The 17,453-nt window shown below is 39.7% G+C and overlaps 1 protein-coding gene across 9 annotated transcripts in view, besides 1 other annotated feature; it reads right to left on the bottom strand.

The window, feature by feature from the left end:
* ADAMTSL1 (ADAMTS like 1) overlaps positions 1–17,453 on the bottom strand; it is a 1,004,318-nt gene that overhangs the window by 826,499 nt on the left and 160,366 nt on the right. The window contains exon 1 of one of the 9 annotated variants that reach the window (XM_047424074.1): positions 1,669–2,002. The exons of the other annotated variants lie outside the window; for them this stretch is intronic. The gene's annotated coding sequence lies outside the window, so the exon portion shown is untranslated. Of the gene's footprint in view, positions 1–1,668; positions 2,003–17,453 lie in introns of those variants that run through there. 9 annotated transcript variants of the gene reach the window in all.
* Positions 12,235–13,434: an enhancer, noted in NCBI's record as "CDK7 strongly-dependent group 2 enhancer chr9:18071016-18072215 (GRCh37/hg19 assembly coordinates)". NCBI's record gives its function as "activates an origin of replication core promoter dependent on BRD2, BRD4, P300/CBP, MED14 and CDK7 cofactors, with strong dependence on CDK7, by STARR-seq in HCT116 cells {active_cell/tissue: HCT116}" and the evidence as "EXISTENCE:reporter gene assay evidence [ECO:0000049][PMID:35650434]".

The raw sequence follows: 17,453 nt of genomic DNA, 5'->3' as shown, positions 1-17,453 counted from the left end.
CTCCTGGGTTCAAGAAATTCTCCTGTCTCAGCCTCCTAAGTAGCTGGGATTACAGGTGCACACCACCGCGCCCAGCTAATTTTTGCATTTTTAGTAGAGACGGGGTTTCACCATGTTGACCAGGCTGGTCTCTAACTCCTGACCTCAGGTGATCCACCTGCCTTGGCCTCCCAAAGTGCTGGGATTACAGGCATGAGCCACCGCGCCCAGCCTCACCACCACCTCTTAATTTTATTTTACATAAAGAACAGACCACACTCACCTAATCTGTATGGAAAGCAGTTGTCCAAGATTAGAGTCTTGGGTTTTAGCTAAGGCAAAAAATTGATTCTCGCATGGCAAAGAATTTGTTTGGGAGGTAGGGAAACTTGTCTACAATGGGAAATGGAGGAGGGAAGTCATCACCTTCTTAAATATCAGTAAACATTTTTCCTTGGTGAATATTTTAATTGACCTCCATTAGTTTTCAGGATGCTTTATTTCATCTTTACTCACTCTCATCCAGAGTACAGAGAATGCAAGACCACCGTATTGGTCTAGGTCTACGGAAACAAGAACTGGGGCAAAGAATTTTCTAAGGTAGTAAGCCCTAAAAAAGAGGAGTAAATAATGTTTAGAGCTAGAGCAAGAATGTTGTATTGTGGAGGGTGGTAAAAGCTAACTTTAGTATCAGGAATAACATTTACAAATTATACAGAATACCCAGAAACATTATGTACGTCTTATGGACGAGGTTGTCCACATAACTCTGAATAGCAGGCAGAAAACAGCAAATTGTTCCTCATAAAGAGCCCCAGTTGCACTGTGTTTAGAATTGGAATTCCAGATGACTGTGAGTCTGTCTTTCATATAACTCTTAAGTGCCCTGAGATTTTCAGAGCTTTACACAATCAAAGGTTTAAGCCTGAAATTACCTACAGCATTTGGACCAAGCCAAAGGCTAAATATCAACATTAAAAACAGACATACATTTTTCTTGGGTGATGTATGCCACAGTCAATCATGTGGGCATTTTTATCCAAAAAAGCCTAGTCTCATTGGCACTAAAAGATTTCCTATCATGATAACTTCTTCAATGACTTAAGCCAATTTTAGATGAATATCTCCATATATTATTACAATGTTACAGAACTCTAACCTTGAGAACTGAACTCATCATACAAGACAAACCTGCTTTTAAAGTGTCTGAACCTACTTACCATCATCTTTCCAATACTTGTAGGTCCCCCAGCCTATCACTGTTTCAATGGCCCTAAAAACCTCAAATATTGCCTTCAATAGTAGCCAAACTTAAAGGCACAGTTTCATGTCTTGCCCCACATCCTCAAAATAAAAAGTCTTTTTGTCTCAAGTCTTACGTTCCACATGTTCCTCTATAACGCTATTGCAATAAAGATGCACTTTTAATTTTTCCACTTATTCAATCCTTATCTAATGATATTTTGCAAAGTAATTGATTGTATCAGAGTCCAGCTTCCTGGCAGTACTGGTTGTGACATATTACCTTTATTTATAATTTGTTACAATCGTTTTGACTTCTAATTATGGGTTTTCCTATTCTGCTTCTCATAATGTTCTCATGTTATATTAGCTATTTAAGGATTTTTAGGTACTGGAGGCCAGGCATTTTTTCTTAGTCCCTTAAACTCTCTACTTCTTCTTTCTTACCTCTGCCTCTTCCCTTTCTCAGCTTCTCTTTCTCCTGCAGGCTCCTTCACAACAGTGAGCAGAGGGACAATGGAGGAACCAGCCAAACATTTGCTTGAGCCTACGGCAGGAGACCATCCAGAAAGAAGCTGGTGGTAGAGGGATTCATGGACAGCGCTGGAGCCATCTGGTCTGGGGAGGCTTGAAGAGGAGGCAAGTGAAGGAGGCTCACATAGGATGTGTCTTAAGGTGTCCTTAAGAAGCTGAAAATGTCATGACTAACCTGCCAACATGGTGAAACCCTGTCTTTACTAAAAATACACAAACTAGCTGGGCATCCTGGTTGGCACCTGTAATCCCAGCTACTCGGGAGGCTGAGGCAGAAGAATCACTTGAATCCAGGAGGCGGAGGTTGCGGTGAGAGCTGAGATCACGTCATTGTACTCTAGCCTGAGGGACAAGAGTGAAAAAATGGTCGTTTAATCTATCTAGGTCAGCGGAAATAATCAGATGCAAATGTCCACTGTAGTTTACATTTTCTACTACTTCAAAACTTAATATGGGCACATATTTAGTTTCGTACTTCTTATCCTCTATATGTTATTTGACAAAATAAAGCTATTGTTCCGCCTTTATATAAACCTGCTGTCCAAAAAAATGTGAATACAATTTTCAACATTAAAGATAACTACAGTTGAAAATGAGCTTATTTGCATTTTGGTTTTGTGTTAAAAAAGTACTTCACTGGAAAATATTCCAAACGAGTGATTCATATCATAAGCAAATAAAAGCAGTTTAAAATATATTAAGCCACCAGTTCAGAGCCATTATCAATATAACAAAGACTCTTCATCAATCTTAACCTTGTCCTCACATCATAAGTGCATATAAAATGTTTACCTGAGTTTATCCAGGACAAGCATACGCTAGTATTTTCACAGTTACATAGCTTTTCTTCACTGTGCTAAAACAATTGTTTAAAACAATGCAGATACGCTTACATATTCTTGTTTAATAATCTTTAAAGTCTAAACTATTAATTATAATAATAATCAAAATATAAATAGACAAAAATAAAGGATTCAATTTTTGTTCCTTGGTTTGGGAGAGGTACAAACAAAATGAGAAAGCAAGTCATTTTCTAATTTTAAAAACTATGTTCCTGATTTCAGTTTCTTTAAAAAGATGAGCTTGGCCAAACAACATGCACTGGGCCCATGGAAATCTGCAAACATGTGTCATTCAGCTCGAGTGATTTTAAAGTATTGCCCTGATCCACCTGCATACAATTTTCATGAAGACTTGTTAAATGTTTAATAGGACTACTGAGTACTCTTGTATGTAAGGTCAGCTGTAGGATAGTTAACTGTTCTTAAAGATTGGGAATGTTTATAAAGTGAGAGTAATATAAGGCAGAAAAAAACAATGAAAAAGAATTATTCGTGTTACAAGCTTGAAAAAAAGATACTCATTCACAATAAAGTATTACTACATGTAAAACAATTACTCTGAATATTATATTTGGGGATACATAGCATACACACTAGACTTGATGGTATCTTCTCTACAATCTTCAGAACTAAAAGAGCAGTTTTCCACCTTGAGACAGTAACTGCCACTTACTAATTCTGATAGACTAGACTTATCAAAGTCCACCCCCACTCAAAGCTGCAAACTGCCAAAAATATTAACAAGCTGAGCAATGTTGTTTTCTTTTTTTCCAGAAGAATGATCAGTTCAAGATATCAAGTCATCTTTATAAGTAAGGTACAACTAGAAATGTTTTTGGTTTAAATGTTGGCATTGTATCACCAGATAAATCATTGATATTTTAAAAGTTGACTCACAAATGCATAAAATATTAATAAATATGTTAGAATTACGGTTACAAATAATTTTGGGACTAACATTAAAATAATGAGAGGCTTTTTCTAAAAATATAAGTTTTATGAGTCTAAATGGGCACTTCTGTGTCTAGAATGAAGGATGACAGAATGACTATTAAGTAGAAATGACTTAGAACCAGAAAATCTACATTCAAGTCTAATACTACTTAGGCAAATCACTTAGTGCCTCTAGGCCTTAATTGGTGTTTTAAATGTAAAATGGAGAAAATAATGTCTAACACATAGTGGGTTTGTCTCATAAAGTAATAGCTTGACTTGATCATAAACGTGCTTTGTAAGCTACTCTTTCAATGTAGGGTTTTGGTATTCAGGGCTAAGTGACTTATCCCAGATCGCAGAGCCAGTTTTTTGTAGAGACAACATAATACGTAATAATCTGGTTTCCTGGCTGCTGTCCATACCCTTTCTAGCACAAGTACCTTTTTCTCTGATATTGTGCATCCGTTCTAAGAAAAGGAGATAGAATCACAACTCCTAATGCACAATGCTATCTTAAGATTTTGCTCAGAGGCATCTTGTAGGTATCCTCCTAGCTCACCCTTTCCACTTCTGTACCATCCTTCTGCCTCAGTCTTACAAAAACCACCGCTCCTCTGAGTCTGACACCATCCAAATACCTTACCTTATATCTCTACCTTATATGTCTTTGGTGTTTCTACCAACTTTGTGATCACTACTCTTTGTTCACTGAGGACTTTTCCTTCTGGTTCAGTCCTCTCATCTATTTCCAGCTTAATCTGCATTTGCACAGAATATGAGCTATCCATCACTTTGGCTTCTCACTCCTTGACCTCCCATTACCTCTTCCTCCATTCTGCCTCTGCCAGGCTCTCCTATGGTAACACTTGGACCCTTGTCATCATCAGTACACAATCTAGTCTAACCACCATTTCCTCTTTGTTCAGCTCACCTGGTCAAGCACTCCCACAATTCTTCAACAGCATGTGGCCTTCATCCCACACACTTCCTCACTATCCACCAGTTGTTGCCTGTCTTCAGTTCTTCTTTTTGTCCAGCTGGGATTCTGAAGTCCCTCAACAAAATCACCCCTTTAGGAACACTTCCAACCTCATGTGCCTGTAAGACTTGCCAGAAAAAAAATAAATCTGGATGCTTTCCACCATGGTACTCTTCAGACATGTACCAATGGTTGCTTTTTATTTTTTATTTTATTTATTTATTTATTTATTTATTTATTTATTTATTTATTTATTTTGAGACAGAGTCTCGCTCTGTCTCCCAGACTGGAGTGCAGTGGTGCGATCTCGGCTCACTGCAAGCTCCAGCTCGTGGGTTAACGCCATTCTCCTGCCTCAGCCTCCCAAGTAGCTGGGACTACAGGCGTGCACCACCATGCCCGGCTAATTTTTCTGTGTTTTAGTAGAGACGGGGTTTCACCGTGTTAGCCAGGATGGTCTCAATCTGTCTCCTGACCTCGTGATCCGCCCACCTCGGCCTCCCAAAGTGCTGGGATTACAGGTGTGAGCCACTGTGCCCAGCCCAATGGTTGCTTTAAAAAAATTAAAGAAGTTAAAAGGATATTAAATGGAAACTTTCGACTTGAGGTATCAAGATGCGATAGCAGTGAAATCCCAATGTGAAGTGGTAACCAGAATATAAATCTTCAAAAAGAGTGTAAATTACTTTATGAGATTTAAAAACCCTTCTTTACGAGGATGAGAGTAAAAGACTGAGAATACATTTTGAGAAAAGAAGGATTTTTGGGGTGAGAACTGCTAGACAATGAGCCTAGTACCCACCATCAAAGGAAAGGATATCTGGGGATACCTGCCCTCTTGAGTCAACCCTAATGAGGGCTGCATCTATGGGGCCACTCAGCGTTCAGTACAGCACACCTCTGGATGGAGGTTCCACAGATACAGGTTCTGACCCCTGCCTGGGGAACCTTGAGATAGACAGGCTGATAAACTACTCTGATATGGGAGCCAAGGAGAGGTCGCTGCCTGGAATCCACTACTCCGTAATTCCTAAGAGCAAAGGCAGCATCATGATTGTTTCTTGATGCCAGAGATGGGCCATACTGAAGACAGCTCCATTGCCTTTTTTTGAGGGTCCAGGGGCTTGTAGTTGTACAAACCAACTGGGAAGGCAATGGATTCCCTGCAGAGAGAATATGGGTGGACTGGGCTTCTGGAAATCTAGGAGCTGAGAAGGGAGTGGTAACCAGAGAAACAGAATATGCCTACATCCTAGGGGTTACGATTGGAGGGGCTTAGAAGAGAAGTCTAGAAAAAACCACAAAAATACTCACGAGAAAGTGATACAGCTTTAAATATACACCAGGACCAAAGAAATATCTATTTTCCAAGTGTATCTGTTGAGCAGAAACCTTCTGTTCCTCTTTCCTCTCCTCTCTCCCTGAGCACAACCCTGGATGAGCCTGAAAGTTAGTCAGCGAAACTCTGACTAAGAACAGACACACAGGAGCTGTGGGGTAGGGGAAGAAAGGCTTATTTTTGAATGCAGAAAAATAGTGATGAAATGTAGAAACTCAACATTTGTATTTCTGAGTCTAGATTTTTTTCAGCTAACTATAACTTCAGGAACCTCTATTTCCTAGGAGGCGTAGGGACAGCCCAGAATTTTCTATCTGTGGCAGAGAGAAAACTTTCCCCACTGCGCGACTATAAAAGGCACAATGGGAGAAAAAAATTGTTTTATTTTTATTCTATCTCATGAGTCATGCTTGTTAAAGTACTGATTAAACTGGTTTCACTTGAACTCCGTGCTCACAAGCCCCAAATGGGCTCTCAACACAGCCCAGCAATGCTACTACTTTTATCTGTGTAGCAGGCTTGTTTGCTCACTATTCTCCTATATGACTTTTACATCTTCTCTCTCAGTTCAACTCTCCTTCCTCCATCCCTTCCCACCCTGTCCTTGTTAGGTGACAAATATATCTCTTTCTTCGTTGAGACCCCAGAAAGGCCAAGATGGGGATGCCTTGACTTCTCACCCATGAAACTTCCTAAATGGGCTGCATCTTCTTCTCTTACATCCAAAGACAACTCCTGCATAAAAGGCTAGCCCCTCTCCATCTCTCTCATCTTCCTCCGATTAGCCCCTTCTCCTGCCTCAACAGTTTCTCTCTTTTACCCATTCTATCAGCATACAAATATGCATTTTTTTTAAAGTCCTCCTTGGACCCCACGTTAGTCTGCAGCTTTTTCCATTTCTCTTATTTTGTTCACAATTCAACTTCTCACACAAGTAGCATTTACTTGATGTTTACCTTCCTTCAGCTCCCATTTACTTCTCAGCTACTCCAGTGTGGCCTCTGACCACCACTCCTTTCTTTGAAACTTCTCAGTGAGATCACCGATAACTTATCTTGTTAAATCCAAGGGGCCTTTTATCAATCATGATATGCATTTTCTCAATATCACAGGTCCCTCTTTAAGCTCAAAACACTTTCCCTTCTTGACTTCCATGCCATTACTCTGTCCCAATTTTCCACCTTAGTTTCTAGCTGTTCTCCATCTCCTTTGCAACCTCCTCCTCTTCTCCATGAACACTCAATAAGGGAGAGGAGTCCAGGGCTTGCCTCTGGGTCTCTGCATCTTTGTTCTCTGCCCTCTCTTTCCTCCAACGTTAAATATGCCTTTGTGTAGCTTTAAATGCCATTTGTATAGTGATAACTACCACATTATATTTCCAGGCCAAATTTCTCCTGGGAAATTCAGACTTTTATATGCTATCACTAATTTTATACCTACATTTGGATATTTCACAGGCATGAGAAATTCCACTGGTCCAAAATAGACCAATAAATCTCCACCCTCCTCCTCCTCCTCCCAGACTGCTTCTCTTTCACTCTTCCCATCTCAGTAAATGTGGCCAACGTTTAAAGACACCAGGAACCTGGGAGTCATTCTGTATCCTTCCTTTTTCTTTATCTTCCGTAGCCATCTAACAGCGTGTAATTCCAAGTATACATTCAATCGGTCCATTTCTTGTCATCTCTACTACCTTGTATGGTTCACCTAAACTAATGCAAAAGCCTCCTTAATACCACCATTTTTCCTCCTATTTTCTGCCAAGCCACACTCCACACGTTATCAAAACACAAGTCATTATTGATATGTATCAATAATGTACATAGCCCAGCCCCTCTCCACATATAAGTCCCTCGATGTACTCAACAAAATCCTGTCTCCCAGCCGTTAACAGTGGTTCCCTGCTCACATGACATTGCCACACTGGCCAACATTAGCTGCTTGTACATTCCCCTAAGAGGTCTCCAAATATTCTATTTGCTCTGAATGGAACATGCTCAAAGCACTCATAACCACATTCAGGTGTTTTTTATCTTTCTCAAGACAGCTTCCTAATGTCCAGCTCCTTAGAGAAGCCCCTTTCCTCATTATCCCATGGAGGCACTATTTTTGTCACTGTGCCCTTATCATTTCTGCCACAGCATTTATAGCCACTTATGATCATGCATGTGTTTGCTCACTGATCTTTTTCCACAAGTTTTAAGTGTCTTAAATGGAAGAACTGTATCAGTGGTATTTACCTGTGTCCACCTCACGAGGAGGACAATACCTAGACTACAGAAGGAACTCAGTAAGATGTGCAGAAGAATGTATTAATCCGGTAGCACAGCACCATGGTAATGACCTAAATTTCATAAAATATTTCCAATATTTCCCATGTTGAGCAATAGTTTTATTAGGGCTTAGCTATCCATACAAAGAAAAGAAACAAAATAAAACGTGAAACCACGGGAATAGATCTTGGTTAGGAAGGATTTGAGGAAGTCACAATTATTCATTGGCACATTGTTTAGAGAAACCAAACAGGAACCTAATAAAAGAGAAAAACTAATATCCTCATTCTTGAATCAGGGATTCATCTTGAGGTGATGTTTAAATTGTGTAACAGTTTTAGATGCTATTACTTAGGTGAGTGTTTATTTGTGTTGACACTACACTACTTCCTCTGGAATTCAAATAAATTGAATGCTGGTTTGGGACTTGGTATTTAATTAACAGCTTGATCAATAAATATTCACTCAGCACCTTTTACAGGCACAGGTCTGCCCACAGCAGGAACTTCCCTGTATTAGTTCAACACTCAGCTTGGAAATGCCCCAAAGCCTGGGTCAGCACTAATTCAGCCTTGGCCTCCTTCTGGGGTTACACAGCCCTCCCAGGGTGGGCTTGGGGCCAAGGATGTTACTTTCTTTCCCTAATCCATTTTCCGATGTTGGCTATGATCTTTGCCTTTTCTTCCTTTAGAAATGAAACTGTTTTTCTTCTTGGATAAATCACTGCAGTCAGCTAGGGTATATGCCAAAACTAAATGATTTTAGTGTGCTATAAAGTAATGAAATTGACTTTTATAAAACTTTTATATTGAAACTGACTTCAAACTACACACATTAACCCCATTTTATTACATAGTCCGCAAACTACACAGCTTCAGAAGGGTGGGATAGGGTGGGGTGAGTCCCAACGTACTTGTGGCTCCCACCCATGTTAAACTACCAGGGCTTTTTTCTGCTCAGATAAAACTCTTTTGCACATTGACTGTGACCTCACTTCTACTTCACTTTTTAAAAATGCATACAAGTGTACCATACACACTTCTTTATGTTATAGAAGTTTTAATAAATTTAATAACCATTATTGTAATATTCTTATTAGACTAAGTAAGAAATGATGCAAATTTCAATTACCATTATAGTAAAGAAATTCATATCAGGACTCAAAGGAAAGTGGTTTTCCCTCCCCCTCACAGAAGTTTTATAAAGGAAAGATGAAAAGAAGGGAAAGAGGGAAGTGAGGAGTGTAGGAAAGAGAGAGAAAAGGAGAAGGATAGAGTGAGGGAGGGCAAGAGGGAAGCAGGAAGGCAGGAAAGAAGGAAATAAATAAGGAATATAGGTATAAAAGAAACAAGAAATGTACATTTATTTCCAATAAATTTGTTCTGCCTGGCTGATGACAGCATTCCCTTTCCAGTGAGGGGAAATGCAATGTGGTGAGGCTGGGCACCATGGCTCACGCTTGTAATCCCAGCACTTCAGGAGGCTGAGGCAGGTGGATCACCTGAGGTTAGGAGTTTGAGACAAGCCTGGCCAACATGGTGTAACCCCATCTCTACTAAAAATACAAAAATTAGTTGGGCCTGGTGGCAAGCGCCTGTAATCCCAGCTACTTGGGAGGCTGAGGCAGGAGAATCACTTGAACCCAGGAGGCAGAGATTGCAGTAAGCAGAGATCATGCCATTGCACTCCAGCCTGAGTGACGAGAGTGAAACTCCGTCTCAACAACAATAACAACAACAACAAAAAAAGAAAGAAGAAAAAAAAAAGAAAAGAGAAGAGAAAAGAAGAGAGAAGAAAAGAAAAGAAAAGAAAAGAAGAAAAGAAAAGAAAAGAAAAGAAAAGAAAAGAAAAGAAAACACAGTGTGGTGAAATGAATAAATCTGCCAAACAAAAAAGGGCCAAAGTGGAATGAGTCCTTTCCTCCAGGGTCACCTGAGAACAGACAACATACTCTTCGTTTCTCTGCTCCACACCTATTTGCAGGAATCTCCATTCTATGCACTCCATCTTTTGGCAGCATACAGACATCTGGATGGTGCTTCCTGCATTGCATTCATAGTTTTTTGAAAGAAAATGACCACAGAAGCTGAGCAAGTAGTTTACAAGCCAAAGGGAAGCCTGGCTTGCCTGTCATTAAAGCAGATGCAGCCTGGGCCAGCTGGTGGGCATCTCAGACCTGCACCAGAACACAGGGGCATGATTTTAAATCTCATGTCCCCAATGCTCAAAGCGTAAGGAGTTCTTAGATGCTCCAAAAAATGAGAAATGAACCCAAAATTAGACCGTTCACTGAATAAACAAGCCTACTTCCTCCTGCACTGCCTCCCTTTTCAATGCGAAAAAAAAAAATCAGTTTTACAACAAGGCATGAAACAGGCTGATAACCTCCCGTGTGAAGCAACCTTTAGCAAATTAGCCTAAAATAGGGCTTGAGAATTCTAACTTAGAAGTCCCACTCCCCAAGTAGATCCTGAAGTTATAACTAAGACTACCTCATTTAGCACATGACATTGCCAAGGCCGCTGAAGTTGGGTGACACCCTCAAGGTCAGTCATTTAGAAGTTGGAATCTGTTATTTTTAATCCCTTGCCAGAGCTCACTTAAATACACCATGTTGTCTTCTATCTTAAAACAGTTCCAAGGTTATAAAAAATGCATGCATATCTTTTAAATGTCAATAACATGATATAGTTATACGTGAAAGTGTTCATATTTTCACCCAAGAAAGACTAAGAAACACTGTGTCCTGATTCTCCAGAGCTGTGTTGCTTCTGCACATACACAATGGACCCCACCCAAAGGCCTTCACCAATCCCCCAAGTGCAAACACCACTGTGGCATGTAATTTCCTCTGTAAATGTGTAAAGTACACATGAAAAATACTTGTGCCCCCTTTAGATATCTTCTTAACAATTCTGTAAATATCACCTAGATGGATTTATAAAGCAGCTCTTTGCAGGAGTCCATGCGATCAAGTAGAAAGCACAAAACTAGTTGAGATGTGGATCTTCATTAGGCATTCACACAGGCTGAATCACTCAGCTCCACACAGCCTTCTCCTCACAGGGCCCACAATTCAAGTGATGAATTGCAGTATGTCATGCACTTTGGGGGTTACTCTGAAGAGCTGACAAACAATATATTTAATCCAGGAATTACAAGTAATCCTGGAATTAGCATGAAGAGAAAACACGTGGCAGGCCTGGTGAGCCTGTTCTGGCCTCTCAGAATGTCATGAACTTCAGTGCTCTTCATTAATGAAGATAACGCTGTGAGGACAACACTATTAATCTACCCTAAGAGAAACTAACTAAATATCAGCTTCGTTGTCTCGCTTCCTAAATAGGCAACAAACATCAAACTGGACGGTACATAAAAATTCTTAATCCTTCCCCTAAGCTGCAAATGGACAACAAATACAATCTTTACTAGAAAGGAAAAATATCGTCTCATCTTTGGAAAAGACAAAGGATATTATCTAAGCCTAATTCTACACATCAGTTCCTGATAGCATGAACTGGAAAACTCCACTATTCTTCATCGCCCTCCGTGGGCAATGAAAATTGTCAGCCTAATAGTACCAACCCTTCAAAACGAAGTGGGCCCTACAAAAATGCCTGGATAAAAACATACAAGTGGTCCAAGATTTTCTTTTTTCTGTCTGAACAATGTTGTCTCTGAGAGATATGCAGATAATCAACCTGTGGTGATAACTGTGTTTAAGGAACATTATTTGTGAGATAGAAAATAACATTCTCTACTTTAAAAACAAAAACAAAAATACAAAACACATGAGTGTGTGTATGTGTACACACAGTTCACATAGTATACTAGCAAGCTGTGTTGGTTTGAAGACTAGGTCAATATTTGCAGGTCTCAGCTTCTCAAATATAAGTTCAGAAGCCTCTACAAGATGCAGGCAAATGATCCAATACTGCAGGGTGAGTAGCACTCTCCAGGCATGGATAGCTCTTCCAAGACTCACATTGGACAGCCATCTTTGTTTTATTCCTGTTGCTGCACCCTCAGCAATGAGGCCATCACATAAAATCATGTTTCGCATAACAGTGGTAAGAAGCCTAAAAATCATCAGCTGCCATCGAAAGTAATGAAAAATATTCACAGAGGCCTTCAATCAGCCCATTTTTGCTTTTGCAACTATCATTTCCTGAAAAACAAGAAAAACGACAAATACAATCCAAAAATAAGATCCCCACGGCACATGGCTTTTGGACCACCCGGAAAATGCAAGCTTGGACATACGAATGGCAATGTTCTTGTTCTAACAGTTGCCAGGGACAGCTAAGAGCCTTAGAAAGGTTCTGGCACTGTCAAGAGCTTGGAACCATTAAGCTTGTTCTATATTAAAACAGAACTCAGAGTATTTTCTCTCTAATGGAGATGAAACTGAGGATCATGTTCTAGCAAGGGACACACAGGAAGTGCGGCTGATGAATATCATCATTCAGCACCCTTCACAATATCTCTCCAGCAGTGACTTCCAAGCTCCCCAGATTGAGTCATCCTGGAACACACAACGCATCAAATAATTCACCGGCTGTACTCTGAGGTATGGGCACGTGCTTCAGCACTTATCTCCTACTTTCGAGGAAACGTCCTGATACAGAGAAATCTCTATAGAGGACACACTCCCTTCCTGGGCTTCACTTGGGCTCTGCTAGGTACATGGATAAAAGCAGAGGGCCATTTGAAAATGTCACTTCACTTGTACCTGACACTAGATTTATCATTCCTACCCTCTGAGTATATTAGCATTCCTAGCATTGTTATAGTCTAGTAATTTACAAAGTATTTTTCACATTTGAGAATTTGGAACAATAACATAACCACTTACTAATCTTTTAACTGAATTCTGAACTCCGGTTCCTTTAACTATTTCTTCACCATGGAGATCCTTTTATACAAGGCAGGAACCCCTGTTGTTCCAAGTATCTTGATAGAATAAGGAACAGACAGACACACACACTTATTTTTGGTGTTCTGGACAAATTCTAAAGCACTCCCATAGATATGCTCTGAAGTGACCAAACCTTTAATTTTTTTGAACCAAAAACATCTGACAACAAACAAAAAAGTTATAGTTCTAGAGCCTGCTCACCAGTTTTCATGGGACTATTGTCAACTTGGGGACATGCCGTCCCCCACAGTGGCTCTGTCACAGAATGCTCATCTCAAAACTTAAACCCCGACAGCAATCTCCTCTCTCTTCTGTTTCTTTCTCCATATATTCTTGATCTTTGACCTCATCCAGATCCTTAGTCCCCTGACCCCTCCCTGTTTTTTCTTGCTTTGCTTTCCTTCTAGTCCTGTCTAGCCCTGAGTCTACAGTTCAAGCATGAACCTGATCCTAAACCAACACCCAATGTTTCTTCTCTGCCCCTAGACCTGGGCTGCCAAGTGCTGCTGGACAACATTCACATATTTGATGCCACTAGCTGTGCAGAGTATCAGATCATCGGGGTGGGGATGAGTGTGCAGTCCTTCTATGCTGTTCAGCAGCCCATCCTGCATCATCTCCACACCATCCCATCCTCCTCTCTTCTGTCTATCTAGCCCCGCTCTTTACATTTGGCCACAATGAATTCCATGGCTTCTGGTTTGGCTATAAGACTCCTTCTCCCAAGGGGCTTTGCTTTCTTATCATTTCCCAAGATTTTATCTTCAGATTCTCCCTCACAGCTGGGCCATTTAGTTCAAGCTTACTAGAATACCGAAATCTTTCCCTTCTTAAAATAAAAAGCAAAACTTATTGTGCAAAACGCTTCCTCAAATTTGCATCCTCCACTTTCTACCATTCATTCATTTACTCATACATTCCTATTCCCTACCTCTCTCTCTCATTTCTTCAATTTCACATTCCGTCCCCAGGCAAAATTCTTGAAAAACTGTATAAGAGTCTATCATCCCTATTTCTTCTCGTTCTGTTAATTTTCCAGCCAGCCACATTTGCCTGCCATCCCTCTCTGAAGCAACTCCTGCTCTTAGCTATGTCGACCAAGTCAGATGGGTTTCCCAGCACTGGCTCCTCTGTGGAAGGACTGGCTATCCACTCCTTCAGGACATGTTTTCCTCCCTCAGCTTCACTAGACGGTGCTCTCCTATCCAGTCCTTTTTATGGTTATTCTGGTTCTTTGAATGCTTGTGTTTCTTAGAATTCAGTCCTCTTACCTAGTCTGTTTTCAGTCCACACTTACTCACTGGATTATCTCATATAGACCTGTAGCCTCACATCTAAGCTTAAGACTGACGAGTTTACTCACTGGTCTACTCTAGATCTCATGCAGACATTTCCACTCAATATGTCTAAACCTGAATTCCTAATCTCCCCATGACAAGTTCTGAAACCAAAGATTCAACTATAGGCTCCAATGTTTCCACCTCCCACATCCAATCTCTCACCAAATCCCATAATATATGTTCTAAATAGCATTCCCTTTGTCTTCATCAACTTTTAATTGATTCTTTTCTCTGCACCACCAATGCCATTACCATAGTTTAGAGACCTCCTGATCTTTCTCATGGACTACTATAGCAGTTTCAACACTATGGCTTCATTCTATCATAACCTCACTTCTACTCAATCCACCCTCCATGTATTGACAGGGTCTAAAGATAAATCCAATCAGATCACAGTATTGTCAAAATAAATAAACACTTCAGCAGCTAAAGAATAAAGCCCAGATTAGGAGTGAAATCACATGTTAATATGTTTTAAACTATAAATTTTGACCCATAAGTGGGCTTTGAAATCAAGTTAATGGGTTGTAACCAGCATTAAAACAATATGAAATAGAATAGAATAGGCAATATCAGAGTGTGCTGCAAAGCATAATGGTAAACTTATGAACCTTTTGTTTCAGTGTTTGCATTTTCCATATATGTGTATGTATGTATGTATGTATATAATACGTTGCAGTGTAATATGTCCTTCTTATTGTGAGTAAAATGTGAGCCACATATATAATTTAAATGTTTCCAGTAACTGCATTAGAAAAAAGTAAACTAAAATAGGTGGAATAAGTTGTATATTTTCTTCAACTCGATATATTGAAATTATCATTTCAACATGTCATAAGTTAAAAATGAAACATATTCTTTTTTATACTAAGTCTTTGAGATATGGTGTGTATGTTACACTTAAAGCACATCCTAATTCAGACACCGTATTTCAGCTGCCAGATAGCTTACATGTCAGCAGTGAGTCACGTAATGATAGACCTGTTTTAGACACACACTTAGCTAATGTAACCATCCATTCTTCCTTGTATCTTCCTGTCTTTACACATGCTGTTCTGTTGTTTTGTTTTTAAATCCATCTGGTAAACTCCTATTTATCTTTATACCTTTACCTCAAGGACCACCTCCACTGGAAACTCTCCTGACTTACAAGGCCAAGTTAGGTAACCTCTTCTAGGTCCCAGAGTAAAGTGCTGTATAGCACTATACCACTCTGTAATTGATCTTTCACATGCTGCCTTAGGCTGTCAGAATGTGAGCTTCTTGAATGCAAAGATGTATCTTACTTGCTTTTATAACCTTAGAACTTAGCACTGCTATTGCCACATAGAGTGCTTTCAGTGAAAACTTGTTAAATATATTAAAATTTCTAGATTCACAACATTAAAAACTTCCAGAAGCATCCAGGGGGACACATAGTCAGTCATGGCTCCAGCTGAGAACCTCTGCTTGGTTTGCGTTTCCCTTTAGGAACCCTGGGTTGAAGCCTTTCCTTGTGGGGTTTACCATTTTGAGGTGCATTTGTTCATTGGTATCCATGGAGGATTGGTTCTAGAACCCCAGAGAATAGCAAAATCCATACATGTTTAAGTTCCTTATATAAAATGGTCTAGTATTTGCATATGGCCTACACAGACCTTCTTGTAAACATTAAATGATCTGTAGATTACTTATAATACCTAATTCAAGGTAAATGCTATGTAAATAGTTGATACACTGTATTGTTTTAATTTGTATTATTTTTATTGTTGTATTGTTATTTTTAGTTGTTTTTCTTTTTGACTTTATTTGTGATCCATGGTTGGTTGAATCCAGAGATGTATAACATACAGATATGGAGGGCCAACTGCACTTACACTCTCACTGATGGGAAGAGCTGCTATCTTAATAAACAGTCCATTTCTAAGGGTGGGGTGGGCCAGCCCTTTACTGATTCACAGGAAGTACGTTTTTGGCCAATACACCCCATCACTATGCCTCCGGGCAGGACCAGACCAAACCACTTCAGATGGCTATTATTATTACTAACAACTTCCAGAAACCTAACTTCCACAGTCTCCCTTTCAAATTGTTTTGTTTTTAAAAAAATTATCCTGTCGAAAGCTTTTCTTACCTACTCTAAATCCTCTGTGCTCACTGTCAGCCCACCCCCTCCTGTTTGAATCTCAGGAGAGCTACAGAGGAGCTTACCAGGAGGCTCTAGAAAAGAACCCTCTTATGCTTCAATAACAGCATTAAATCACCCTTAAGTCTTCTCTTCTCCAGGGTAAACAATCCAAATTTCTTTAGCCTTCCTCCATAGATCTTATTTTACAAGCTTTTAATCACCGCCTCCAGACAAGACTCTCCAAGTTCCTAGGCCCGGCTGCTGTTGTAAAGCTTAGTGCTGCCGACAGCTCTCTGTGCTGAGTATTTCACCGCCCCTCCATCCTGACTGTGAATAATATCTCTTCATATTAGGTAATGGCCTCAAGAAAACTGGAATATGAATTAACATGACTGTAATTCTCAAAATCAGGAAAGTTTTGTAATCTAAATTGCCCACTACTTAAACTCACTAAACACAGTAAGAGCACAATGATTATGGTTTCAATGTGGTATGTGGCATTTTATGCTTTCATATTTCTCATCTCATAATATGGCAAAAGGCCCTCTAGAATGAGGAAGAGGAGGTGGAGGAAGAGGAGTATCTGCTAATGTTTTTGAATTTTCACTGCATGCCAGGTATTGTTCCATGCATTATACATATTAACTCTTTAAGTAAGTAAAACAAATAAAGTAGGCATCATCATTTCTATTGTGACCTTAACAACGAGAAAGTTAGCACAAAAAGATTAAATAACTTGATGAAATTTACATGGCTAGTAAATAGTAGAGCTGGGATTGGAATCTAAAGAGTCAGGCTAACCCTTAACCACTTGCATTTTTTTTTATTATACTTTAAGTTTTAGGGTACATGTGCACAATGTGCAGGTTAGTTACATATGTGTACATGTGCCATGCTGGTGTGATGCACCCATTAACTCGTCATTTAGCATTAGGTATATCTCCTAATGCTATCCCTCCTCTCT

This window comes from Homo sapiens, chromosome 9 (assembly GCF_000001405.40).
Source record: "Homo sapiens chromosome 9, GRCh38.p14 Primary Assembly".
NCBI lineage: Eukaryota > Metazoa > Chordata > Mammalia > Primates > Hominidae > Homo > Homo sapiens.
The sequence above is the reverse complement of the archived record's forward strand: the minus strand, read 5'-3'. Positions and strand labels throughout refer to the sequence as shown.